The 25,823-nt window shown below is 39.9% G+C and overlaps 1 protein-coding gene across 51 annotated transcripts in view; it reads right to left on the bottom strand.

Moving 5' to 3' along the window:
• NRXN3 (neurexin 3) overlaps positions 1-25,823 on the bottom strand; it is a 1,697,919-nt gene that overhangs the window by 1,553,334 nt on the left and 118,762 nt on the right. For 32 of the 51 annotated variants that reach the window (NR_158974.1, XR_007064051.1, XM_006720322.3 and 29 more), the window contains exon 4: positions 17,098-17,127. Coding sequence is in view for 45 of the 51 variants with exons in the window: in XM_006720322.3 (XP_006720385.1) it covers positions 17,098-17,127 (30 nt within the window). In the remaining 6 variants the exon portion in view is untranslated. Of the gene's footprint in view, positions 1-14,266; positions 14,279-17,097; positions 17,128-25,823 lie in introns of all 51 variants that reach the window. The other 19 variants (NR_158973.1, NR_158975.1, NR_073547.2 and 16 more) reach the window with 1 other exon arrangement.

Below are 25,823 nucleotides of genomic sequence, written 5' to 3'. Positions count from 1 at the left end.
AAGGAAGGAAGGAAGAAAGAAAGAAAGAAAGAAAGAAAGAAAGAAAGAAAGAAAGAAAGAAAGAGAAAGAAAGAAAGAACGGAAAAGAAAAATACACAAAATACACATACATGTGTGTAATAGAAAAATGAATGAGAAGTGATTCTCTATCTCATAGAAACCATACTCACCTTTGTTTGAATGAAGGTGGGCTGAAGAAAGCTAATACGCATGACACAAGATCAGAACACAGAAGCACAGAACACAACTCATCCACTGGGGCAGAGACTGTCACTGTAGCCACCAGGCCCCTTATCCTGTTCTCCTGAGCACAGAGATAAATTGCATTTCCCAATCTCCTTTGCAATTGGATGGGATTACGTGACTGAGTTCTGGCCAATCATAGATGATGCACACTATGTCCAGGCATGGCCCTTTAGGAAAAATCCTCCAAGCTCGCTCTCTCCTCCTCTGCCAGTAGACTGCAAAGAAGGACAAGGCTCCAGAAAATGACAAAGCTACAGGACGGAAGGTGTCTTGGTGCCTGAATGACTGTGTGGAGTAGAGATCCCCCACTTCACCACCCACCAATCTGCACCGCAAACTGGAATGTGAGAAAATTTTGTTAGCATTAAGCCACTGTGATTTGGGAATTGTCATAGCAGTTAGCCTGCCCTGAGTAATATACATTGCTACTTCCCTGTATCCCTGTTTTTCCCCCATTTTCAACCCACTCTTCTGGATTTTAGGATGAAGTAAACACAGACTAACAGAGAAACAAACCACAAGTCGCTACCACTGCAATGTCAACATGCTATCTCAACATTATAGGAAACAAACTACTTGCACCCAGAAAAGGGCTTTCATATTTTAAGTGGCATTTGGTACAGACAAAGCCCAAGACAAAAGAAAAAAAAGTGAATCGCTTTTGGAATTCATTATATAGGGGTTTTCTTCCTACTCTATTGTGAGCTGCTCAAGAACAAAGACTGATTTTTACCCATTTTGTGTATCCCTTGTGCTCAATACTTGTTAAATTCAATTACACTTTATTGTTACTGTCGAGAGGAAAGGGAATATATTAAAACCATAACGAGAGCTAGACATCTTTTTAGGCATTTAATATGTGTTAGCTTATATACTTCTCAATTTTACCAAAAGTAAAATAATGTCTTATTATTTATAATACATCATATGTAATACTATTTATATGAATTCAGAATATATTAGAATAATATATTAGCATCCCCATTTTACAGAAGAGAAAACTGAGGTTCAGTGAAATTAATTGAAATGATGGTATCGTATATAGTAGTGTCACCTCAGGCTTTGGGGTCAGACAAAGCTCAGTTTATCTTGGTTCTGCTGCTAGCTCTGTAACTAGCTTTGTAACCTTGGGCCTCTGTTTTCTTGCCTGTGAAAATGGGGATAATGCCATGTAATCATTCAGAAATGTATTTAAACTGATACGAGAAAGTTTTGTTAAAAAAAAAAACCTTTATTTAAAGAAAGGCAGAGGTAAAAGTAGGGAAACTGGAGGATTATTTCAGACAAGATAAACCATTTCTAAGAAAGAAGTAGTGCTGGATCTCCAAAACAAACTGTCAAGCAAGAACCAACAGAAAAGCCAGTAAATGGGAATGCAGCTGCTCATCTCCAGGGAGAACAGACCTGTCTCTGTCCACTAAACAGACGAAACAAACAAAAAAGTGCACGAAAGTCTTCCAACTATCAGGTTGGCCAGAAAGGGCATAAGGCATGCAAGAGAGACAGTAAGCCTGTGAATCCTCAAATGTATTTTTTTCCTATAATTTTTGGAGGGAAGCCGGCTAAAAACAGGAAGAGATCTGGAAAGTTGACAAAAGTCATTACTCTCCACAAATTACTCTAACCTTGCCTAGGCGGTGACCTTCACACTACCACTGGTTTAATGGCATTTATTTCTACAGTAGCTGATTTCACTATAAAAAACAGAGATGCAGCGCACAGGATAATAGAACTAAATCACTCTTGTAAATATTTAATATCATTGCCTTTCTTTTTTCCTTTTAACAAATCACTATCAAAGGCGGAGCACATAGTAGAAAACACACTTATTTATTCTATCCTGGAAAAAAAGCTTAGTGCTCATGCATTTTATCTATCTAGTTCTACAAATGACTTTGACACTTGAGAGCCCTCGTGATCAAAACAGTCTGAAGGAAGGCAATTTTGCAACAATTTAAGAACCGATTTCCTGCACCCATCAACATCCCCCAAGGCTGCCTCACGGACGGGCACTAAACTTAACCCATCAGACACATGGTAGAACCCCGAAAAAATTGTTTTTTAAAAAGAAAACCCAGAAATGATACTGGCTTAAAGATAAATACACTCTCACTTGAAAAAAAAAATGTTTCTTTTTAGTTGAAAAAATTACAAATAAAATGACAACTAATTTTAAAGGAAGAAAGGAAGTGCAAACAACTATTAAGCAACAGTTTGTAAATCAGTCCCTGGTGAATATCATCACAGCTCATCTTTATTGCACTCAACATGCATCCACGCTGTTATAAATAGTCAACATGGGACAGCAAGAAAGAAAAAGTTATGGGTATAAAAGCTTTTTAAAAGTCAACTGGTGTCACCGTCTTACTTCAGCCAAGACAAAGCCATCAACAAAGCAAGTCTGTGTAAGTGGTACAAAGCATCATAAAATACTGAAATTCAAAGCAGCTTACTGACAACTTTGAAAGCTGGAGTTGTATCAGTTCCCAGGCAGACTAGTAATTTAAGAGATAACCTTTTTTAGAAAGTTTGCACACTGAAACTTCCAGAATCTTCCTTATATGGCATTATCAACAATGATCTCAGCAGCCTATGAATGATCTATAACAAATACCATCAACAGTGAAGATGACCAGGACTTAGAGGCAACTTGGTGGGAGGAGAAAGAAAACAACATCTGAAGTCAGAAAGTCTGTTCTAAGTCCCGATTGTGCTACAAATTTTCTGTGCAGTGACAAACACATCACTCATGCCCTCTCAGCATGTTCTGTCATCCACAAAATCACAGTGGAATCGACTAAAGGAATTCTAAGTCTCCTTTGAGCTCTGAAATTATATGCTTCTAAGATTTGAGGAAGCAAATCAGCATTTTTTAAAAGTAACCCAACCAAATGTTTTTGTTTTCTTCATGGCTCCTATAGTTCCATCAAGTAATACAAGGAAATCCTATAGCTCTTTGTGTGCACAAAAAAAAAAGCAGACACATCTATCAAAAACCTAAGAAAGAACAGGTTTTATGAGGATTACTATTTTTAGTATGGCAGGCTCTAAAGCAGGACTGTCCAATCTTTTGGCTTCCCTTGGCCACATTGGAAGAGGAAGAATTGACTTAGGCCACACATGAAATACACTAAGGCTAATGATTTCTGCTGTGCTTAGAAAAAAAATTCACACACACAAAAATCTCATAATGTTTTAAGAAAGTTTAAGAATTTGTGTTGGATTGCATTCAAAGCCATCCTGGGCTGTGTGCAGCCTGCAGACCTGGGGTTGGATGAACTTGTTCTAAAGGAAGAGACTAATGATTCCCTCTTGCAATGGAGGTACCCAAAGACCCTCTCTATTGAAAGCATAATGGGATCACAGGAAGACTTGGGGCTGGCCCTGTTGCAGAACTCTGCTAAGAAGTTACTTAACTCATCAACAAGTATTTACTAAGTTGTTTCTATGATGGGGCAGGCAATGTTACAGGCACTGGATATACCAAGACGAACAAAATCAGATACTGCCTCTGATTTTATGGTGCTCATAGTCTCATGAACTACTTATTATTTAACACTGTGTAGCACTATTTTAATTTGCACAGCACTTTCACCTGCATTGTATCAATTCTTAGCCAGAACAAATGTACCAAGTAGGCATTTTACAGGTAAAAACACAGATAGTCAAAAAGATTGAATAATATGTTCAAAGTTCCCATATTTAATGAGTGATGCTGATATTGACAAAATGTATTTATGATAACTGATGTTTGTTGTTAATGTTTATGATAACTAAACTAATGCTTATGTATGTTAGCTAAGCTCTACCATAAGCCTTTAATATTATTGTCTCAATAGATCCTCTCAGCAGCCTTGTGAAGTGTCTAGTATTCTTGCTCCCGTTTTGCTTATTAGGATAAGGAAGCTTAACAAGGTTGTATAGCTTGTGAGTGTCAAACACTAACATCAGTACTCTAACCCACCATGTTTTATTCCCCAGCATTCTGAATTAGGTCCTCACATTTATCTCACTGTTCTATTTGTTCCATAATGCTGACCCTAGGTTAGAATTATTCACACCTGGAGATCTAGTATTCCAGGTTCAGTTGTCACATGGATCAATTAGTTTAGAACTGCAGAACCTCACTCGTAACAATTTGGGCCAAGGCATTTGTAAAGACTCATTACTGGTCACTTGGGGAAACAAGGGAGCGTATGCCTGGCTCAGCAAACTACATCTCCACAACCAGATAAATAGCCCCAGGCAAATGGTGTACTACAGATGGATCAATGGCTGCCACTTCATACTGAACAGACAGCACATAAATAGGACAAAGTCCTCAGCTGTGCACTGCGACAACCCACAAAATCCTTAGCTGAGCCAATGACTTCTAAACAAGTAATTCCTACCAGAAAGCAATTCCTTCACCTACATGTTCACTGTCTGGAAAAAAAAAAAAAAAAAAAAAAGCCATTCATAACCAGACTCTCAGGATGAATGACCTTAGATATACAGTAGAGAAATAACCATGATGACTGTTGACCTGCTCCAAATTTGAAAGCAAATAAGACTAAAGTTCCTAGCAGTTTTCTCATGTTATGCCAAGATCAGCTCTTCCTAGAGTTAAGCAGCCATTCTCAGAAGTATTGTTTATGCTCACTATATGGATATCTGTTTAAGTACTCAGGTAATACAAACTGGAAGTGTTTTAACCAGACTAGTATCTTTAAAATTGCAGTTGTTTTAACATCTGTGGTGTGTATTTTACCAGGAAGCAGTAATTTCCCTATTTAAACGAACCCTTCCAAAAAAACTATTCCCAATCAAAATAGAAAATGTACTTAAAAAGACACTTGAGTTAAGCCAATCCAAAAGTTCCTTCAAATTTTAGAGTCATTAAGCCTTATAATATTAGCTTTGGTAGCTACTATAAAATTGCTGTCCAAAGTGTTTTTAACTGAACACTAACTAGTTCTAATTCTAGCTATTTTCATCCAAAATGAAAATCATAAAAAAGCGTTTCATGTCAAATAAATTTTGGTAACTTTGAAATGTACATTTTCCTTCTCAGAGGTTTGTAATTTGCATTGCCATAACAAAGGCTCTGAGAAGTCCCACAGTCAATAAACCTGCTTAGTTTAGAACTATGTTTTCAGAACTTACTTTTCCCAGTAGTTTTTTTTTCTTGAAATATTATTAGCATCTCTAAACATTGAGTACACATGGACACCAAGACAGGAACAAGACACCAGGGACTACTTGAGGGTGGAGGATGGAGGGTGGGAGGAGAAAGAGGATGGAAAAACTACCTATCGGGTACAATGCTTATTACCTGGGTGACAAAATAATTTATACCAAACCCCTATGGCACACAATTTACCTGTATAACAAATCTGCACATATATCCCAAACCTAAAGAAAAAGTTAAAAAAAAAAACATTATTAGCGTTTCTCAAAATTTTTTTGGAAGATGACAATCTGGCTGAACGTGCTATATAATACGAGGTTCTACAAGATGACAAAACTTCCTCAAATTCACCCAGATTTCTATTTTTCCTTGGGCCTATTTTGAAACCATATAATGCATTGTTTTTAAAGAAACAGAACATTTAAAACTTACCCAGTCAATACGCAAATAGGTTTAATAAGTCTAGGTTTAATAAGCAAGAGGCATTAGCCTCTATTTGATTTGAGTTTCACAGTCCTTTCATCAACTTCATAGCACACAAGCCATTATAGGTAAAATACTGGACCACAAAACTCACATTATCAAGTTCAGGTTCAGAGATATCACTAATAATAGAAGAGTGTGTTGTTCAATGCATATTTGCCATTTAGCAATTCTTACCAGCAACAAGGAACAATGGATTACAGTAACAAATTTATTTCAAATATTTCAAGAAAATGGGTTGAGAGACTTTTCTATATTTCTTTATTGCTTGAAAGACTTTTATTTGGAGAGAAGTATAATACACACACACAAACACACACACACAATAGTATTTGAGGTTTGAGATTTATTTTTTATAGTATCAAGCCAATGTACTGACTCTCATTTCAATAATAGATCTGCAGGCATTTGCGAGGCATAGTCATTAGCTTATCTTTAAGTAAATATTTTGATTGTCAGACAGCTCATTGCAAACAAGGTTCTTTTCCAAACTCACTTCTGATGCATCCAAGCCCACTTGCACATCATTCGTTTAATAATCTGTGTCTGTGCTAAAATATAAAATCATCCTAAGGAGGTCAAAGTACAGAGAAAAGCAGGCTTTGCAGGGTTTCATTTAAAAGGGCTGCAGAGCATGTGGGACCCAGTTCTCTTTCAGTTCTATGGTCTTGACTATGCTACATTACCATAAAGCTTAGGAAATGAGCTATTACACACCATCATCCCTCCTAACTGCTATCACAGAAAATCACACACTCACAGAACAGCATTAATTGTCAGAATTAGCAACCATTTAAAAGGCAGCTGTTCTTTCACTCTTAAATAGGCTCCAAATTTCAGATCTTCTCCCTGCATTGGCTGCTCCATCTATTGCTCTTACACACGCACACACATGCATGCACATGCACACAATGGCTCTTTAGTCGAACAAATTTTTTAAATTCTCTATATTCATAAAAAAAAAACAAGAAAATGTTATTAAGCAACATTTTTCATCCCAATACTTGCCATCGTTGTTACAACTGACTGGAAAGCTTCCAACCTGCAGGGAAGCACTTTTCAAAGCTCCAGGTGGAAGGTCTCTGTTTTGTGTGGGTTGGGGGAAAAAAAGAGCAGTATCTCTTTAAGAGTCAACAGTAAATTAACTTGCCCAAAAGAGTGAAATAATTAGCAGTTAGTAGCTTATTAAAAGGATGGCAAAGGCCAAGCTGCCATCTGGGATCTGCAGTTTCTTGTGATTGTTATTATGTCAAGATGTGCAAGTTGGATTAGGTTTCATGTCATCGCTTCTGCCCTTGCTTTACATGTAAATTTTAATGAAAGATGCAGCACTTTTACAATCAGACATCCATCAAAAAGTGTTATTAGTCTGGCTTTTTACAAAGCATATGGTCTTTTCCACCTCTGCTATTCTGCTTACCACTAAATGCCTTAGGAAAAAAGAGAAAAACTCAATAATATCAATTAGGTATTCTCTTTGTATAGAGGGAAACCTGCGCTTCATCAAAAACAGGGCAAAGCTACCTCACAAGAGGACAATATTTTTGCTTCTATTTACACACAGTGAAAAACCACACTGCCTGGGTGTCTCACAAGGTTAATCCTTCTTAATGAAAGTTAAGCAATCTAGAGCCTGCCTACTGATTATTACATGGATAAACACAATTTTGGATTGAGTGGGGAAAATACATGTATTTATTAAAAATAAACGGTAATTTTTTAAAAAATAAATCAACCAATAAAGAAAAAGAAGTAATGGCAGAAAGGGTCACAATGGAACCTTATAGTGATGGGCATATTCTATTTCTTGATTTGGATGGTATTTATGTGGGTATATACAGGTTAAAAAAAAAAAACCTTTAAGCTGTATGCTTAAGAGCATGCATTTTATACACTTTGCACTGTGTATGCCATCCCCAATAAACAAATAAATGACAAGCAAATAAAAAATTCCCTATGTGTTCACACACAAAGCACATTTTCTTTTCTGATTCTGATAATGTAAAGCGTGGGTGATCTGACTAAATGATTACCTAACAATTTCCCTTTAAAATAAAAAAATTAATTTAAAAACTGCATATATAAAAATACATTAAAAACAATGCATTTAAGGCTTTTTACTTGAGGAAAGGTGGTTGTTACATCTGAAAGCTATTTTCAAACTCCCATTGACTGTGAGCAAGGTGTCAGAGGGCTGGGTCTATGTTTGCTCAGTTTCTGTGTACTTAGCACCTAGCATATCGTTGGCTCTCCATCAATATTTGTTGAATGCCAAATAAGCATTGCTTTTCTAATATTGAAGCAGAGGATCTGCTTAATTCTGATACATGTCACCCTGGAATCTATTATTTTCAGTACACCTACAAATGGCAACTACACATAAAAACACAATACACCAGTATAAGCCTATTAATATGTACTTGTGCAAATTGTACCTATACTCAGATATACACTGCCCTACACACCTAAGAAACAGACCATGGCATGTACAAGCCTAAGCACAAGGGGAAATGCACTTTGCTTGTTCTCTCATTAAGTATCTTTCCATCAGACTACTCTTTCGAATTCTTTACAAATGAGATGTATCTTAAAGACAACACAATTCAAAACATTCTTTGCCTGTAGGTGCTATCAAAGTCAAGTTTATGTGTGTATACATATTGATCTACAGTTGAAAATTATATATCTTCTAAGATTAACTAACTCAACTGGATAAGCAAAGGTCTATACAAACAGATAGATCATTATTCATACCTTAGAGGAGAAAGTATTTTATGACATATATACGCAGACATAAAATCTATAAGTAATCAATAAATCCAAATTGATCATTGAGGAGGAGGAAACAGACATGTTGTTTCAAAATCTGAGAAATAATTTCTTTTATGTATTGTCAGTTGGAATTTAATTAAAATGTTCTACTGATACATTGTACATTTTATTAATAAATCTTCTGTTCACATTAACACTTTTTTGAATGCTCCAAGAAACATCCATGCAAAAAATGTCTTTGGTGTCCAGTCAAAATTTCTAAACAAGAAAAAAACACACTTTTCATATTTTTCAAGCACCGTCTCAAAGACATCACTGCCAAAAACACAGAGCTGCTAAAATCAAGCAATTTACTTTTTATGTTTAAAATAAATCTATTTTCCCCCACAGACTTTCAAAACATTAGAAGAAAAAATACATGGAAAACAGGCTTCTTGAAAAAACAAAGCGATTTTATATTCACTGTCAAGAGGACAAATCAGTGGTGGATGAGAAACAGATGAGACAAGAGATGGAAATGTAATACTGCCCCTATTTTATTATAATTAGATATTTATAGAGCACAGATGAGTTTATTTTCATAATTAGTAGCTGGCATTAGTAAAGGAATTTGCATACACAGTTGGCTATCAAGGCAGTAACTTATTTTCAAGGCTCTCAAGTCCTAGCAGGGACAAGAGGGGGCTCAGCTCCTCAAATCAGCTTTCTTAATGTTATTACCAGTAAAATGCAATCTACATGAAATCATGTTCAAATTCATGTAGCTTGATTATATCTTTCCAGTTTGGCCAGTGTTGATTAGCTCAGCATTAGAAGGCCAGTGATCAAATCTACATGGGAAAAATACACATAAACAAATCAAAAAGGGCTTCTGAACTTTAAAGGACTAGAATAGATCTTAGGGTCAACACCAGGCAATCCAGTGAATACAAAACTCTGTAGAGCAAAAGGAAAAAGAAACTAAATCCCCCTGCTGCCCGGCCGCCCTAAAGGTTTAAAAATCAGTTCTTGATCGTTATTAAAGATGTCAGATACCTCTCTCCCAGGTCATTCTCTGCATTCTCCATACCCTCCCCACACTTTCCCACACCACTCTACAAAAGCAACTTTACCCAACACACAGACCAGCCTCTCCGAAGGTAGTGCCAAGGGTAGGAAGGATTCTTGGTAACTGATCACAGCAATGGTCAAAGAGAAAATTAATCAAACTACCTCCCACTATTGACATCCAGTAAGAAATCTTGAAGGAATCTTTTTCTCCTCCTGTCTTCTCAAGCCAAAGGTCAAAAACTTATGACTCATGCACCAAATCATCTGGCACGCAGGTGTGTGTGTGTTCATACGTACATACAGAGAAGATACCTTCAGATGACATTTTTATCACGTCCACTTCTGGCTTTTCTTGAGCATCTGGTGACTGTGCCTGCATCCTTGCATGGCAGCGATCAGCTGGAACAGAGTGGAGACTACTGCCTTTGATGGGACTTGCACTCTCCAGTTTGCCATGATTCCCACCATGACCTATTGCTTCTCTTACACTAGGACACTACTTATCTCCAGGTCTACTTCTTAAGACTGGTCAGGTCCCTGCTGGCTTTTGGGTCTGTGACCCCTGCCCTGAGTTCAGTTTCAAGGGAAGGTATTTGGTAACCTCATCCAGAACGGGCAATCCCTAAATGGACTAGAAGAAGGGGAAGAAGGCCAAAATATACTCTCAACACTTAAACAGGGGCTTTCGAAATACCTGACCAAGGCTGGTTGCTGAAGTCCTCTGTGTGAGCCACTTCTAGGTAAGTTCACGCTTGTTTCTGGCCATGTCCTGCCCAACGGCCTCCTCAACAGAGTGGTTTTTGTTATAGCCTACCCACCCTGCTCAGTTTTGTAGATTTAACTTGACAATTCTTTCCATTATGGATTTACTACTTCATCATTCAGCTTTAAAAGAATGACAACATCTGAGGCATAGTCCTTCTTTTCTCTGACAAATGTCTAAGAATAAATTCAAGACCTTTCCCACGTTTATTCTGGTGTAATCTATAAAATTTTCCCTCTGACACTTGCACACACAGGGCCAAGAGAAGGCCTTAGTGAGGAGGGAAGTGGAGCCAGAACACGTGGTCTTACTTCATGACCCATTGGGACTCCTTTGCTCAGTGATTTGGGGTCATGAGGGTTGTGAAAAGGGGTACATGTTAGTAAGTAGAGAGATTTCATTACTAACATCAGTGTTGAAAATCTAATCCTGTCTATCTCCCCTCCCCCCATATCTAAAATCAGTTGTTTAGTTCAGTTAAACCATTACTTAATTTTGTAAGCATTCATTAAGTACGACTCTGGCCCTAGTACTGAGCTTGTGTAGAATGAGTGACAGAGAGGGCAAAGACACAAGTCTTGGTCCTTTGTGGGACAGGTGTTGGGGAGTGGATTGAAATACATGAGTAAACGTGACTCAAGGCAGTTTGGCATAGGTACCTTATAACACAGCACAAAGTCTGGCAGACTTAGGAGGCTTGGATCTTCAAGGATAAGAGGGAGAAGCATGTTCAAGGACATTTAAGAAAGAGAATAGAGCTTTAGCAAAAGTCCAAAGGCAGGAGAATGCAGTGTGGATGCAAGCAGAGTGACTTTGGGACTTTTGGAGATGGGGGAGCTGGCAGGGGTGATAGGTGGGCAGAGGGGGTATGCCCACTGAAAATAAAGCAGGGAAGGCACCTTGACAATTATACAAGAAGAATCTACCCAAAACTTTGGAACAGATGAGCTACATGACCCGATTTAATTTTAATTTTGCTTTATTTTCACTTTTAGGAAGATAAATGACAGCAAGATAAGAGGATTAGAGATTTTGAGTCCTTTCTGCATGGAACACACTATGCTAGACACATCTGGATGTTAACAAATGAATACATTTGTCTTCAACGTACGTGCAATCTAGTAGAGGGGAGTGGTCCAAGTCCCAATTAACTTCCATATAAATTGTTAGAGAGGTACATGGAGGAAGAGCCCAACTCTGAATGGAGCATTCAAGGAAAATATCACATAAGAAATGAAATATATGTATTTTTCAATGGGCAGAAAAAAGGGGATGAGGGACTATTAAAAGGTAGAGAAACAGAATAAGCAAAGGTAAGAGATGAGGAAATTCTAGAGAGGTTATTTGGTATTCCACTTGGCTGGAGCAGCAATTTTGTAGTTAAGCTTAACAGAGGAGCAAGATAAAGGTAAACACGACCATATAAGGGAAGGCTTTGAAAGGGAGATAGCTAATCCTGCACTCCATTTGTGGGCCGCAGAGTTTAAGCAATTCTCAACCACTGGATAGACTAGAAGAGAACAGAGGCAGAAAGACCAATTAGGAGAGGGCAATAATTGAGTAAGTGCTAACTGGAAACTGATCCAGGGAGCTGACAGCAGAGATGCAAGAGACATTCTGGAGGAGAGTCTCAACAAGCTCTCTCTCTACCAATTGCCTAGGAGGAGGAAGGTTCAGGAAGGAGAATGATAGAAAGTAATTCCTGGGTTTCACACCCCACGGTGATAAGGCAGGTGGGAAATGCGTTAACAAACAGGGAGACATCATAAAGGGAAGCTGGTTTGTGGGCAGATGACATGAAGGTTGACTTTGAGCCCACTGAAGTGCCTCCCTTAGTGGGGCATTTACAGAGACATATGCTACAGAGAATGCAAGGTGGTAGGCTGGAACTTATGACAGGTCAGTGTAGAGAGGTAGCTAGAAGGCTTAAACGTGGAGGTCACCCTTGTATCCGGGAAAGACAGTATAGAGTAGGGGTTAGGGGCACAGATTCTGGGTTTGATTCTCACTTAGTAGTCATTGGCTTATGTTATCTGACTCTGAGTCTTATTGTTCTTATCCGTAAAACAAGAATAATGCCACCACCTACCTCACAGATGAGTTATGAGCATTAAGTGTGACAAGCCCATTAGGCATATAGCACAATGGCTGGTGCATGAAAGTGTCAGCAGCTTCTAGTAGTGGTAGTAGCAGTGACTCCGAGAAAGAAAATAAGATACTCACGTGCAAAATCTAAAAAACACTCAAAACATCTATTTTATGGGATGTTGTAGGGGATTAGGGAAAGACAAGGAGACAGAGACAGAGACTGAATCTAATGTATTGCCAATGAGAGAAGAGGCAACAGTGCCACACGCATCAGAAAAGTTGAGTCCTAGGCAGATTGGTGGCTGTGCCTATGAGGTCACCAGTGCCTTCCACTAAGTAGCGTCAGTGGAGAGGTGGAGATACAGCCAGATGTAGCCCTTTAATCATTTATTCCTCTTCCTCTCCCTGCTTTCCCACCCACCTCCTTTCAAAAGATACCAACTTAGCAATGGGGTAAGGGTTCCCCATGACAGATTTCTGAGAATGAAGCCACCTGGGATTAGCATAAAAGGAACAGGCAATCAACCAACCCCAAAGTGGAAAGGACTGAACTGCTTCCAAGGCAACCATACATAACTTTTCAAAGACCCAGAAAAGCATAAAACTCAAATAAGCGATAGCCATCTCACAGACGTGTCACTGAATCCATGTTTTCAACAACTTGTCAGCCCCTTCTTTCTTCAACATCCTCATGGCATAAAACACATTTCCTACTTCTGTTACTTGCCAGTCTTTGAAGGAAGAGACAGCACACAGACTCATTGAGATAGGGGCTGGAGAATTAGGGAGGAAACAGGGAAGACTAGATGTAGATACATATTTATAATTTATCAATTAACCTCTCCCTTCACTCCTGAACAACTAATCCAATTTGAGCTGGTGAGCCAGGTTCTCTAGGCTCGGGTCTCTGACAGCTTTGATTAGAAATGGATGCGTTACCCAAAGGTGTGGTGCGATGAAAGGCATGTCAGAGTGTTGGCGCAAGTTTGCACACTCAGCCCCTCTCCTTTTCTCTGCCTACCTGGCAAAAGGCTGGCTTTGTAAGTTAAAATCCTACGTTATCTCTTTCTCCTCTTCCTCCTGACTGTGTAACACATTTTCATTCCTGTGTTCTTTCACACCCTCCCAGTTCCACCCTTCTGAACCCATCACCCCATCAGAAAATTCCGAATCCCACATATACAGGAAAAACAACACAGGAAAAAAAGAGAAATAAATAAATATCCCCCCCAATTCCACATTAAATAAAATTTCAGGCAATTCACCAATTCTCTCCCTTTCTCATCTATCATCCTTCCCCCACCAATGTTATCCCCAAATTCAGTTATTCCAAATAATAGCAACAATGATACATAATTTCATACTTCCCCTGTTCCCTCAATATATTTACTGGGAGGGGATCTTAGAACACCCTCCCCCGTTCCTGATAGAAAGAGTACAAGATCATGCAGAAGGCCCGCCCTCAGTTTAGAGGGAGGCAGGCCAACACAGAATCATCCCCAAACACTGAACATGAAATGCACTGAAGGGAAATGATAGCATTGGCTTTTTATTTTTATTCTTATTTTTCAGTTGTTGTTAAAAGCATTAATTTATAATCTGGACTGTATTCAGAATCGACAATCCTCTTGGATGCATGAATATTTCAAAAGGCAGATTGATAGTTATAATGATAAAAATAAAGTGAGCTCTACCTTTACTTCTACCTACAGAAATGAAGGTCCAATTAAGTAGAGGAAGCATGGTGTTCACCATGGAGGCGGCCAGAGAGAGACAGAGAGAGAGCAAGGAGAGTCAAACATCAGCACACTGCAAACACACAAAGAGACATAAAACACACAAAACAAAAACTCACAACAGTAAAGGCAGTAGCATTGCAACATCCTAAGGAGGCAGCGCAAAACAAACATACAATGTGGAAGCTTAAACAAGCAGTAAACGCTGTGACCAGCAAGGCTGCTCCCTCAGCTTCATGTTCAAGCTCCATCCCATTCATTTCTTCTCAGTCCCATCCTCAGAAACATGACAAAGTCTGCATGCAAAAGTACTGCACAGCCACATGTATGTGAAATTGCATGCACTTAATCTAAAAATGATTAGGGGACATCTCGGAGAAGCTAGGTTCTCCTGTATTTTCCTAACATTAATATGAGTTATGAGGACCAAGAGTATAACACACATGTATAGGTGTTGTACACACAACATACATACATATTTCCACACATATTTATGGGCACAAAAATAAATTGTTAAGATTCAGCAGAAACCAGACAGAAGCCTCCTTTTTTCATGTTGAAGGAATAAGGAAAAGGAAAGGAGTACTGGTGAGAAGAAGAGTATCGGTTTTTTAGGTAATCATCAAATGGGTGAGAACAGATAAGGGGATAGGAAATGGAAAGAATGAAAGGAAGAGGAATGCAGTCAAAGGACTGTCTTAAAAACAGATTAAACTTCAAGTTGCAACTTAAAATATTAGTAGCACCAGTTACCCAGAAGAATTCTGCATCCTTTCTTGAAAACCTCTCAAAAGAGGAATTCACAACATCCATGTCTGTCATTATGTCTTTCTCTCTTTCTAGAAGGTACCAGACTTATTCCCCCGGAGCATGGTTGTATCTGAAGCTCTGTGTGTGTGCATAAGGAATATAATATAGGCTCTCCAAATGTTTTTCATACCAGTGTTGGGATTTAGCCTTCCAAGATATCCATGCTGCATCAGTGTGTCTGCAATAAGTTAAATCAAGATCAAGGAAGTCCCCATCAGCCTATCCCATTTGCCACACTCTGCCCTATGATGTGATGCACTCAGTTCTCCAAGCCACTATAAAAGCTTGGAGAACTCCCAAGGGGCACGTGGGATCATAAGGCTAAAGAATGTAGGAGGGGAAAAAAGAATGTAGGAGGGGAAAAAAGAATGTAGGAGGGGCTTATTGGGACTCTAAGAGTCTGCTTTTGCTGGTGTAACTTGTCACCAAAGGTGAGCCATCAAATTCCAGCAATTCATAGAGCTCGGTTCCTCAAAGAGATGTGCTTAACTCTCTCAAGCTGCCTGCACACTGGTCAACATCAGGTACATCCCCTACTCATGTCCACCTCATAGTCACTTGCTGTTGGCCCTTCCCTCCCTCACTAAACTGCAAGAACAGAGACTTCATCTCAGCCTCTTCTGGAGCCCCTTCTAATACTAGAGAAGTCACCTGATCTCCTCTCCCAGTTCTATTTTTTGACATATGGTCTCTACCAAACCATCTCCTTATTGAAATTTCTGAAGTCCACACCACTGATCTTGGCTTAGGTCTGGAGGATACATTTACATTGGAAAAGTAGGCTTCCTCCTTACCCTGCTTTGTCAGTTCAGGATGCCCTCGACTGCCCACTTCCACAGCTAACTGGATGCCATAAACGAACTTCTTCCAGCCTCGGGCAGTTCCTTGATTTGATGATACTGCCGTTTATGTCAAAAATGTCTGATGGACTCAATGTCAGGGAGCAGGGGAGGGGAAGTCCCACCCTCCTCAAAAGCTCAAGAAAAACAGGAATATATGGAATTATCCTTCTTTCCCTTTTTCTTTGGTCCTCCAGAAGAGGTGCTGAGTCCCATGTATATTTCAACACGACATAGTCAAGAAAAATTAGACTTTTGGTTACAGGGCAAGGCAGGTAGACCAATCTTGCAATCATCCCAAGGCTCAGAAGAAACACAATAGCAGCAATTGAACTGTGAAGGAAAAGACAATTTTAACTAGGCTCAGCTCTCAACTCCTGATTTAGGCTGATAATGTGGAAAATTTTTATTTAGGAGAAAAAGGCTTCATTCACATCCCACCCTGTGCTTAGCTGAGCTGAATTTCCTGCACAGTTCATTCCTTGCATATTTGAATATTTTAGGTTGCAGATGCTGAATTTACAGATCTTTATATGCAGTTTTCTTCAGGGTGTATAATGAGTTAGTATTCTGCCATGAGGACATTAGCATGTTCTTTAGGTGGTTTTTGCTTTTATATAAAACTGAAAACAGTCAAACCCACAAGGGCTTCCTTTGACCATGGAAGGCAGATCATTACGGGCAGTGTAATGGAGGGGAAGACAAAAAGCAGAGGGAAATTCAGGGAGGAGCCCAGCTCCTCTCCCCCAGCCTGGAGCCCCGGCATGGGGCCTGGGGAGGAGCAGGAGGAAGTTAACCGCTTGGTTGCTCTGAAATTAGCTTCATTCACCCCCATTATCGACACCGTCATGCCTGGTTTCATGCTTCCCTCTCGGATGCAGCCCAGCAGGGCCAGCGCCCAAAATGACAAATGGTGGTGGAGAATGGAGAAGCCAAGGGGACAATAGGGGTGGGAAACCACGATGCATCAAGGAAGGTGCCCCCACCCCCACTGCAGGGTGGTCCTGCAGCCAGCCTGGCCCAGCGCAGGAAGGACAGGCAGCGAATGGCCTGCCAGTGACGATGAGGCTCTGTGACCAGCCAGAGGCACGGAGGCAAGCAGTTCAGGCAGCTGCAGGACCACAAGCACAAAGCACCTACCTTGTTCACTCATCATGAGGTGGGAGAGGCCTGAGGAAGAGAAACAGGGAGAAAGGGAAGAGGAGTGGGGAAGGGTAAGGAAAAAAAGAAAGAAGACAAAGTTAAAATCCCAAATGCAATACAATCTTAATCCTTGAGTGGAAAAAGGAGTGACAGGGGCCGCACGCTTGCTCACATGTCAGACTCCACATGCACATACCCTGGGACATGCAACAAACATGGACACCCCAGCCTTCCTGCTGCTGGGCAGAAAGCCTGGCTTTCTAGCTTACAGTCTTGTGTTTGCAGAACTGCTCTGGGCCTAATCACGAGAACTTTCCTTTTACCGTTGTTCTGTGCAATAGGTAGGATTTGTGATAAATCTGTTAAAGATTAAGTCCCTTGGGAAGCAGACTTAAGACGCCAGGTAAAGTAGGTTTCTTTCTTTTAAATTACTTGTAATAGCAATACATGGTCACTGTAGAAACTTGGGAAAAATCATCAGAACAAAAATAAAAATATCAATGGCAATCCCACCTTCCAGAGACTACCATCCAACTTTTTTTTCTCTAGATAGTCTTTTCTACAAAAATTGAATCATATGGAATGTATCAAATAAGTTCCTGTTTACAAGAGTTGCTCAGACAACCTGGAACTGTTTCTATCACTGTCATCTTAGCCCAGGGACAACAATACCACTTCTTCCACTTCTCCCCCACCATCTTTCCTAGAAAGGCCTCCACACTTGATCAGGGAGGACTAGCCAAGCACTGAATGGTTATAAAAGGTATGTAAAGTCCCAATAAATAGATAACAGAACCTCTGGCTATATTATTATGGAAGGCAAACAGGGATATTAAGAGCTCCTTGGTTCAGGAAAGCACAAGCCTTGATAAATCTATTAAGAAGAAAAAATTTTTAACCAGGAACCAATTGTACCAGTTATCTGCTCTTGTATTGGTTCTGTTGTTACTGGAGATATTTGACATATCCAAATCACTCCAGAGAACCTTACTCTGAGCAAAATTCAGGGATATAGGGGATTAATAAAGGAAAAAAAAAGTATGGAAATCTCTAAATGTTTTTAGAGATTACTAGAGATTTAGAAAAGTAATCAGAGACAAAATATAGGTCAAGCAACTGACTTTTAAAAGATCAATGATATATTAAATACACAGATACATGTGCCATAAATGTCAGGGGGTCTATTTGTCAAACAAGTTTCATTAAACTATAATATTTTAAATAGATAGTTTTAGTATTTGTTGCTCTAGGACCAGGATAAATACTCACGGAAGAATGAAATCAAGATAAAACAAGTCATTTTCATGATTTGTTTTGTTCAAAAAATTCATTTTGGGTCTTTTGTGGGGGAAGGGTATAGTAAGAAGAGAGGAGAAAAGGCCCTAGACTTGGTTAAAAGAAACTTCCATAGAAATAAAGGTTCTTAAAATGTCTGTTGGAGTATGTGGCAAGGGGAACAGGAACAGAACAGGTGTATGAATTCAGTAGGTGACGCTCACAAGAGTGGCTCACACCTGTAATCCTAGCACTTTGGGAGACCAAAGCAGGAGAATAGCTTGAGTCCAGGAGTTCGAAACCAGCCTGGGCAACATAGTGAAACCCTGTCTCTACAAAATAAAAATTAAAGAATTAACTGTGGGTGGTGGTGCATGCCTGTAGTCCCAGCTACTCGGGTGGGCACTGAGGTGGGAGGATTGCTTGAGCCAAGAAGTTTGAGGCTACAATGAGCTATGATCGCACCACTGCACTCCAGCCTGGGTGACAGAGCAAGACCTTGTCTCAAAAAAAAAAAAAAAAGACAGAGAGAGAGAAAAAAAAAAGAAAAGAAAAGAATAAGGAAGATCTGAAGAGCTACCTAAGAGTCAAATAGAGGGTTAAAAAGGGCAAACATTTTACCCCTGAGATTAAAGATGTTTGGCAGCTGCAGGAAGAAGTGAGTAGGAAAGCGATGGAAGAGTCTTTATTTGACCCACGTGAATATTTTTTAAATTTACTAAATAGTGAACAGGACATTTGGTAGTAAGAGGGGATTCAAGCCTCGTAAAAACCTCTATCATTGCGCTTTATCTTATATGCTTCCCAAAGTGTATTTCACTGACAATCTACATCGGCCACCTGGAGATGGTTATTAAAAAACGAAGATCCTGGGCTTCACGAACCAAGACCTAATGAATCAGAATTTTGGGAAGGAGTGGGGGCCAGATCTGAATTTTAAACAAGTTGCCCAAGTGATTCCCATGCTTACTGGAACTTGAGAGCTACCCCTTTAGAGTGGCATATAAATCAAATTTTGGTAAATTAAATCATATAATAAATGCACTAAGGGGAATTGGATATTTAATAGAACCCTGCAGTGGACCCTTTTGTAAAGGGAAGAATCCTTTTAAAATGCAAATAACTCACCACCTGTGTTTTTAAAATTCAAATATGTACTTATCAGGTTTTATTAAACTACATATGTAGTTGCAGTATTGCCACTCAAATAAAATGTTCATATTCAACTTATAAAACCCTTAAATAGAAATACTAGGCCAGAAAACGAGATACACGATCCTGATGCCAAAACTTTGGTTTTATAGCCAATAAAGCAAAATGGATATGAATCAGTGTGACAGGAAACAGGACTGGGGGGAGAAACCATGTAACCATAATACGGTTTGTTTTATTTTGCTTTTTGAGAAAAGAATTATCTTCCACTTTCAAGGGCTTTTACATCAGTACATTTTCTTGCACAAACCTGTCCTCAGAGCTTGCAGAGTTAAAAACTGGAAACCAAGAATTCCATCATGCCCAGGTCTATTTTGAAATTCTGCTTCTCCGCCTTCTACCTCAAAACACTCCTACTTGTTGCTAAAAATCTCAAGCCCCTCAACAGTGAATGGAAGTACCAACAACCAATCATCCAAACAATTCATGTATCTACCACATGCATAGACTGAATAAGGTAGTGGGGATACAAGTAAGTGTGGGACATCATCCCTGACCTCTAGAGTTCAGTCTAGCTGCGAAGGTATGCATGTGCTTATATTTACACACACACACATTTGCCATATATACTCATACCTGACAGTGATGCATGGGGGTTAAGATCAAGGACTTCAGAGCCAGGTTTGATTTCCATCTGTGCTACTTTCTAACTTGTGACGCTAGGAAAGTTGTTAAACATTTCTTTGCCTTGATTTTCCTATCATAAAATTTGACTAATAATAATGCCTACCTCAAAAGTTACTTTGAGGATTAACATATACAAATTTGTGCCTACACATAGGAGCTTTTTCTTTTTTTTTTTTTTTTTTTTTTTTGAGACGGAATCTCACTCTGTTGCCCAGGCTAAAGTGCAATGGTGCAATCTTGGCTTACTGCCACCTCTGCCTCCCAGATTCAAGTGATTCTCCTGCCTCAACCTTCTGAGTAGCTAGGATTACAGGTGTGTGCCACCATGCCTGGCTAAATTTTGTATTTTTCAGCAGAGACGGGGTTTTGCCATGTTAGCCAGGCTGGTCTCGAACTCCTGACCTCAGGTGATCTGCCCGCTGCAGCCTTCCAAAGTGCTGGGATTACAGGCATAAGCCACCACGCCCAGCCTGACACGAGCTTTATAACAGTTGTTGTTGATGTTATTTTTATTATGCTATGGAAATGTACTGACATGTAAGGCAACACCTATTATAGTACCTGACAGACAATAAGTGTTCAGTGTGTGTTTGATGATTGAATGAGTGAATGGATAATTCCTAAGTGTCAAATGATTAATTCAGACAATAAGACCAGTAGGGACTATAAAGAGGGTTCCAGGTGCTCAGAAAAGGTTTCTGGAGGACAGAGGAATTTTTAACAGGTCTTGGAAAATGGTTTAGGGTTTAGATGGAGGACATTCCAGGTAGCAGCATGGGCTACCAGGATCATAAAGTGCATTGGTAAGGACTTTTCTGTTTAGCTTTTCAGAAGCAACCAGGACACTGCCAGGTACATGGTTGAGACGTAACAGCATGCTATACAAATAAAGGAATGAATACATATGCATAGTTCATATAAGGAAAAAGGGAAAGATGATCCTAAGAATCAGAGTATGGAGGTCTGGAGTTTCAAGGCTAAGCAAAGTGGACTTGATCTTGTCATTGATGGGAGACATTGAGGGTTCATGGGCAAAAGAAAAACCCAAGGAAGATGTTATTGAAGAAGATTATTTTTGCAATACTGTGAACGAGATGGATCAGGGGGAAAGAGACGGAGGCACAGAGTTCAGTTACAGGGGAAGGACCTACATTAGTATCATGGCAGTGGGAAAGAAAAGAAAAAAGAGGATTGAACAGGCTTCAGTGATGGATGAGATCCTTTAGGAGAGTGGTGGATGGGAGACTGGGGGAAACAGTAACAGAAATAGGAAGGTGGGATGGAGTAGGGGGATGGATTCAAGGTGGTGGGGATAATAAGTTCTGTATGACACATAAAGAGCTGAAAGGAGGAATCAGTCAAGCAAAAGATCCAGTGTGCCCTTAACAATGTAAGACTACAGTCTGAGAGAGAGTCAGGACAAATATTAATATAAGGGCTTCTCACAACCCCATTCATAGATGAGAGGGTCAGCACCTGTGTCAGTGAATGACACCTCAAAGGAAAAGGGGTTGGAGCCCTGAGTCTTAACCTGGGAGGAGTGGGGAAATATTAAGATATCCTGGAGGTTCTTTTTTCCAAGCATATTCAACATTAAGATATAAATGTTGAAATAATTTTACATTCAAAAAAAAAGGAAAAGGAACTATATGGCTTTCCAACATAAATTATAGAAAATAATGCTCAAAAAATCTTAACTGAGTAGGATATAATTAGCAACAAAGGAAACAGAGTCTATGCTAGGCATGCATTCTGTATGTTGTAGATGAGGAAGGGGTAAAAATGAAGATGGACCTTCTAGTCGACCTCAGAAACGGGGTCAAAATGCATGCCCATCAGCAGCAATCTCCCAGGTCACACTGCCAGCCCTAGGACAAGCACCCTGGCTGGTTTTGGAGTTTGGCATTTATTCTGGGTTTGATATTCCAGGGCTGCCAAAAGAAAAGGCACAGGCTAAAACGGGGGCTCATGGAAGCAGAGGGGACCACACCTTTCCAAAACAGTCTCACCATCGGCTCTGGCTTTGAACAGATCTTCAGCTATGACTCAAAATGCAGCACCATTAAAGTTCAGCTAAGGAAATTAAGAATTGCCAATGTCAAATTCTTATGGAACTACAATTCCTTTTTTAAAAAATAATTACAAAAATATAAGAAAGCAACGGAAGTGTCTCCCGTTTGATGTCACACCCTGAAAAAGTGCTACTCCAGCTGGATCCCAACAGGATGTCTGATACTTTTGACCCTTCCACCTCCCTCTTTCTAGTCCTGTTAATATATTCCACCCTTCTTGTACCTGCCTATCTGTGGCGCACAGGTTCTCAGGGTACATAGAGGAATAAGAGGAGAAAAAGATCACCAGGAGATAAGGCATACAAAGTTGAAATTGCCTTAGAATAGACTGCAAATCATATGTAAATTATATGCAAAGTACACGTAAGGCCCTCTAAACTATGTTACACCCTTTGGGAAAATCCCCATGGAGATAGCTATAGCTGCTTTTGCAGCTCGGGAAAATGGAAATGGCTATGAAAGCAAAGTCATTTGTAAGCGGCTGTGGCCATCATGAAGCCTGTCATGAGAATGACTAATACAGAGAATAGAAACCATTTACTGAAACAGGCAAGAGGAAGATGTAATGTTCAGGAACCAGGCCAGAAGTTGAAGGCCTCCATCATTTAAGCTAATATTGTCTCCCCCTTAAATCTATAATATCCCACCCACCTCAGATGGTTTTCAAATCCATTCTTCTTTCCTTCACCCTGGCTGGGTAATTGGCAAAAGCATTTCGGGGAAGGAAGGAAGTCACTCACAAGGGGAGAAAAAAAGAAAAAGATTCAGAAAAGACGAAAAAAAAGTTATCTCTGCCAAGACTTTTATTTCACTCGCTTTCAGAGTAACTTTTATCTCAGTGAAAAATCCACATATATCATCTCTTTTTTTCATAGCGAAGTAGAGAAATTAAATGTCACTAATTGCTGCAAGTGCCAAGTGCCAACGATGAATTCTTATGAAGCCACAAGGACTTTTTAAAAGAGTAATTACGCAAAATCAGAAGGTCATAGAAACATTCACCTGATGTTTCTGGAAGAACTCAGTAGATACTGAAGGGGGAAGAGGGTGGGCCCCCAAATTTGCAGAAGCCAAAAGTGTCTGTAGGGTGACCAGGAATTTGGAAAAGAGAGAAAAGGGAAAAAAAGTCATGTTGTTCAATTTGCATTTTAAAGAGGAAAGTGGCTTGATAACCCTCCCAAAAATGACCTGGGAAAGGAAGAATTTCATCTTCCAGTTGAAATACACATCTTAGCATTTTAAGCACTAAAGAGACGGAATTCAGTTAACTTGGTAAAGAGAATTACAATAACAGCTAATATCTGCTGGTTGTTTATCACAGACGAGACATGGCTATGTGTTATCTCATTAAATACAGCTCTATGGGAAAGACATTGCTATACCATTAATTTTACACGTGAGAAAACCGAAGCTGAGAGCTAAAGTCACACTACCTTAGTGAGGGGTGAAGTGAGGACTCTGCACCAGCAGATGGACTTTCCAGCCTGTGATGGTAACCATGACACCAGTTACCCCCTCTAGTTCAGTGCTAATGGAGAAGAAAGGAGACATATCTCAGAGAATCCAGAAGCAGAAAATCATGCCTAGACATCAGCTTCATTTATGACCCTGGCTCAGCATGGTTTAAAGGGCCCTGGGAAGCCCTTTTAAATGGCTGTCTTCTCCCTTTCCTCAATCCTCATCCACAGAATCTACTAAAACATGAAATTCTTCCTTTCCCAAGTTATCTAGTGGCATAAAGCCACTTCTCTCTTTAAAACGCAAATTTAAACATGAGACCCACTCAGACTCCTCAGTCACGGATACTGTCATGTATGAGATCATCAGGCCAGCCAGGTTAAAGGTCTCTCATCCAAGACAGGGGCATGCACAGGAGCTTTTGAATGGAGAAACTCAAGAGACATGCAGACTGAAGAAGTCTGCCACCATGGGCAGGAGGCAGGGCACAGGAGACAGCGTGGGATTGAGAAGAATGTTTACAGGAAAGGGGAAGGGTTAGAAAAAACCTTCTACCTAAGTCCCCCTTTTTTTTTGAGACAAGGTCTCACTCTGTTGCCCAGGCTAGAGTGCAGTGGCACAATCGTGGATCGTGGCTCACTGCAGCCCTAAACTCCTGGGCTCAAGTGAACCTCCCACCTCAGCCTCCTGAGTAGTTGCGATTACAGGTGAAATCCATAATTTTGTCTCAGACCAGCCCTTCCCTGAGTAATTCCCTGACCTTCACTGTGAACCTGAATCTACTTTTTCTGCCCAGGGTTCACTAGTTCCTTACAGCAGAGCCTAGGCCTGCTCCACATTTGGATCAATGATGTGTCTGAAGACATTCATGGCATGCTGTCTTGATGTTGTGATGACCTCAACCTGAAAATAACTAATTTGTTAGATATAAGAATTAGGGTCCAAAAGGATGAGAACAGGCAAAAGTGAAATTTAATTTTAAGGGCTAAATGTAAATTTTGGCACTTAAGTGCAATCCTCTACCTACCAGAATAAAAATGTTCAAAAGTCTCACCTTTTCTCAGCATTGTCTATACCAGATATAGGGTTTTGGTTCAGTGTATGTTGCCATACATTAGGGGAGGCATTAGTCAAGTGGAGTATTAATTCCAAAGGAGAATACCTAGGACCATGAGGGACCCAAAACATGTCAACATGCAGAACAGCTCAAGGAACTACTATGTGCAGCTAACTTTGTAAAAAACTCATGTAAGAACATGAGAGCTACCATTGAGCAGTTTTGTTTTGTTTTGTTTCTTTTTGAGATGGAGTCTCACTCTGTTGCCAGGCTGGAGTGCAGTGGCACAATCTCAGCTCACTGCAACCTCTGCCTCCCAGGTTCAAGCGATTCTCCTGCCCCAGCCTTCCCAGTGGCTGGGATTATAGGTGTCTGCCACCACGCCCAGCTAATTTCTGTATTTTTAGTAGAGACGGGGTTTAACCATGTTGGCCAGGACGGTCTTGATCTCTTGACCTCGTGATCTGCCCACCTCGGCCTCCCAAAGTGCTGGGATTACAGGTGTGAGCCACCACGCCTGGCCCCCATCGAGCGTTTTTAAAGTTGTACATGCATGATGGAAAAAAAAAAACAAGCACATTTGGCATGAACAGAGAGTAAAATAATAAGGGAAATTTTATTTGCCAGAAATGCCATAAAAAAGAGTCAGAATGAGGTTGTAGGAGATAATTACCAGAAAGTCCTCCCAACTCTAAGATTCTTTGCCTCTATGAATTCTGATGATCTCCAAAGACACCAAGCAACATATTGGGCAGGACTGTATTAAACTGCTGATAGGTGACTTGTTTTGACCTATAAAAATGGTGGTTTAAATGGCTGAAATCCCCTGAGAATGCTACCCATAATCAGAATGGCAGACTTCAACAATAGCCTGTCACCACTACAGCCAAGCTATACAAAGCTTCAAATAATCACCTAACAGCAATTATGAGCTAACACTCAGGATAATCATATAGGATTTACATACAGGATTTTGGCTTTTATGCAAGCTTTACACAGCACTGAGAATGGATCGAATTGCT

Source organism: Homo sapiens, chromosome 14, assembly GCF_000001405.40.
Source record: "Homo sapiens chromosome 14, GRCh38.p14 Primary Assembly".
NCBI classification, from domain to species: domain Eukaryota; kingdom Metazoa; phylum Chordata; class Mammalia; order Primates; family Hominidae; genus Homo; species Homo sapiens.
This window is presented reverse-complemented; position numbering and strand designations above follow the sequence as displayed.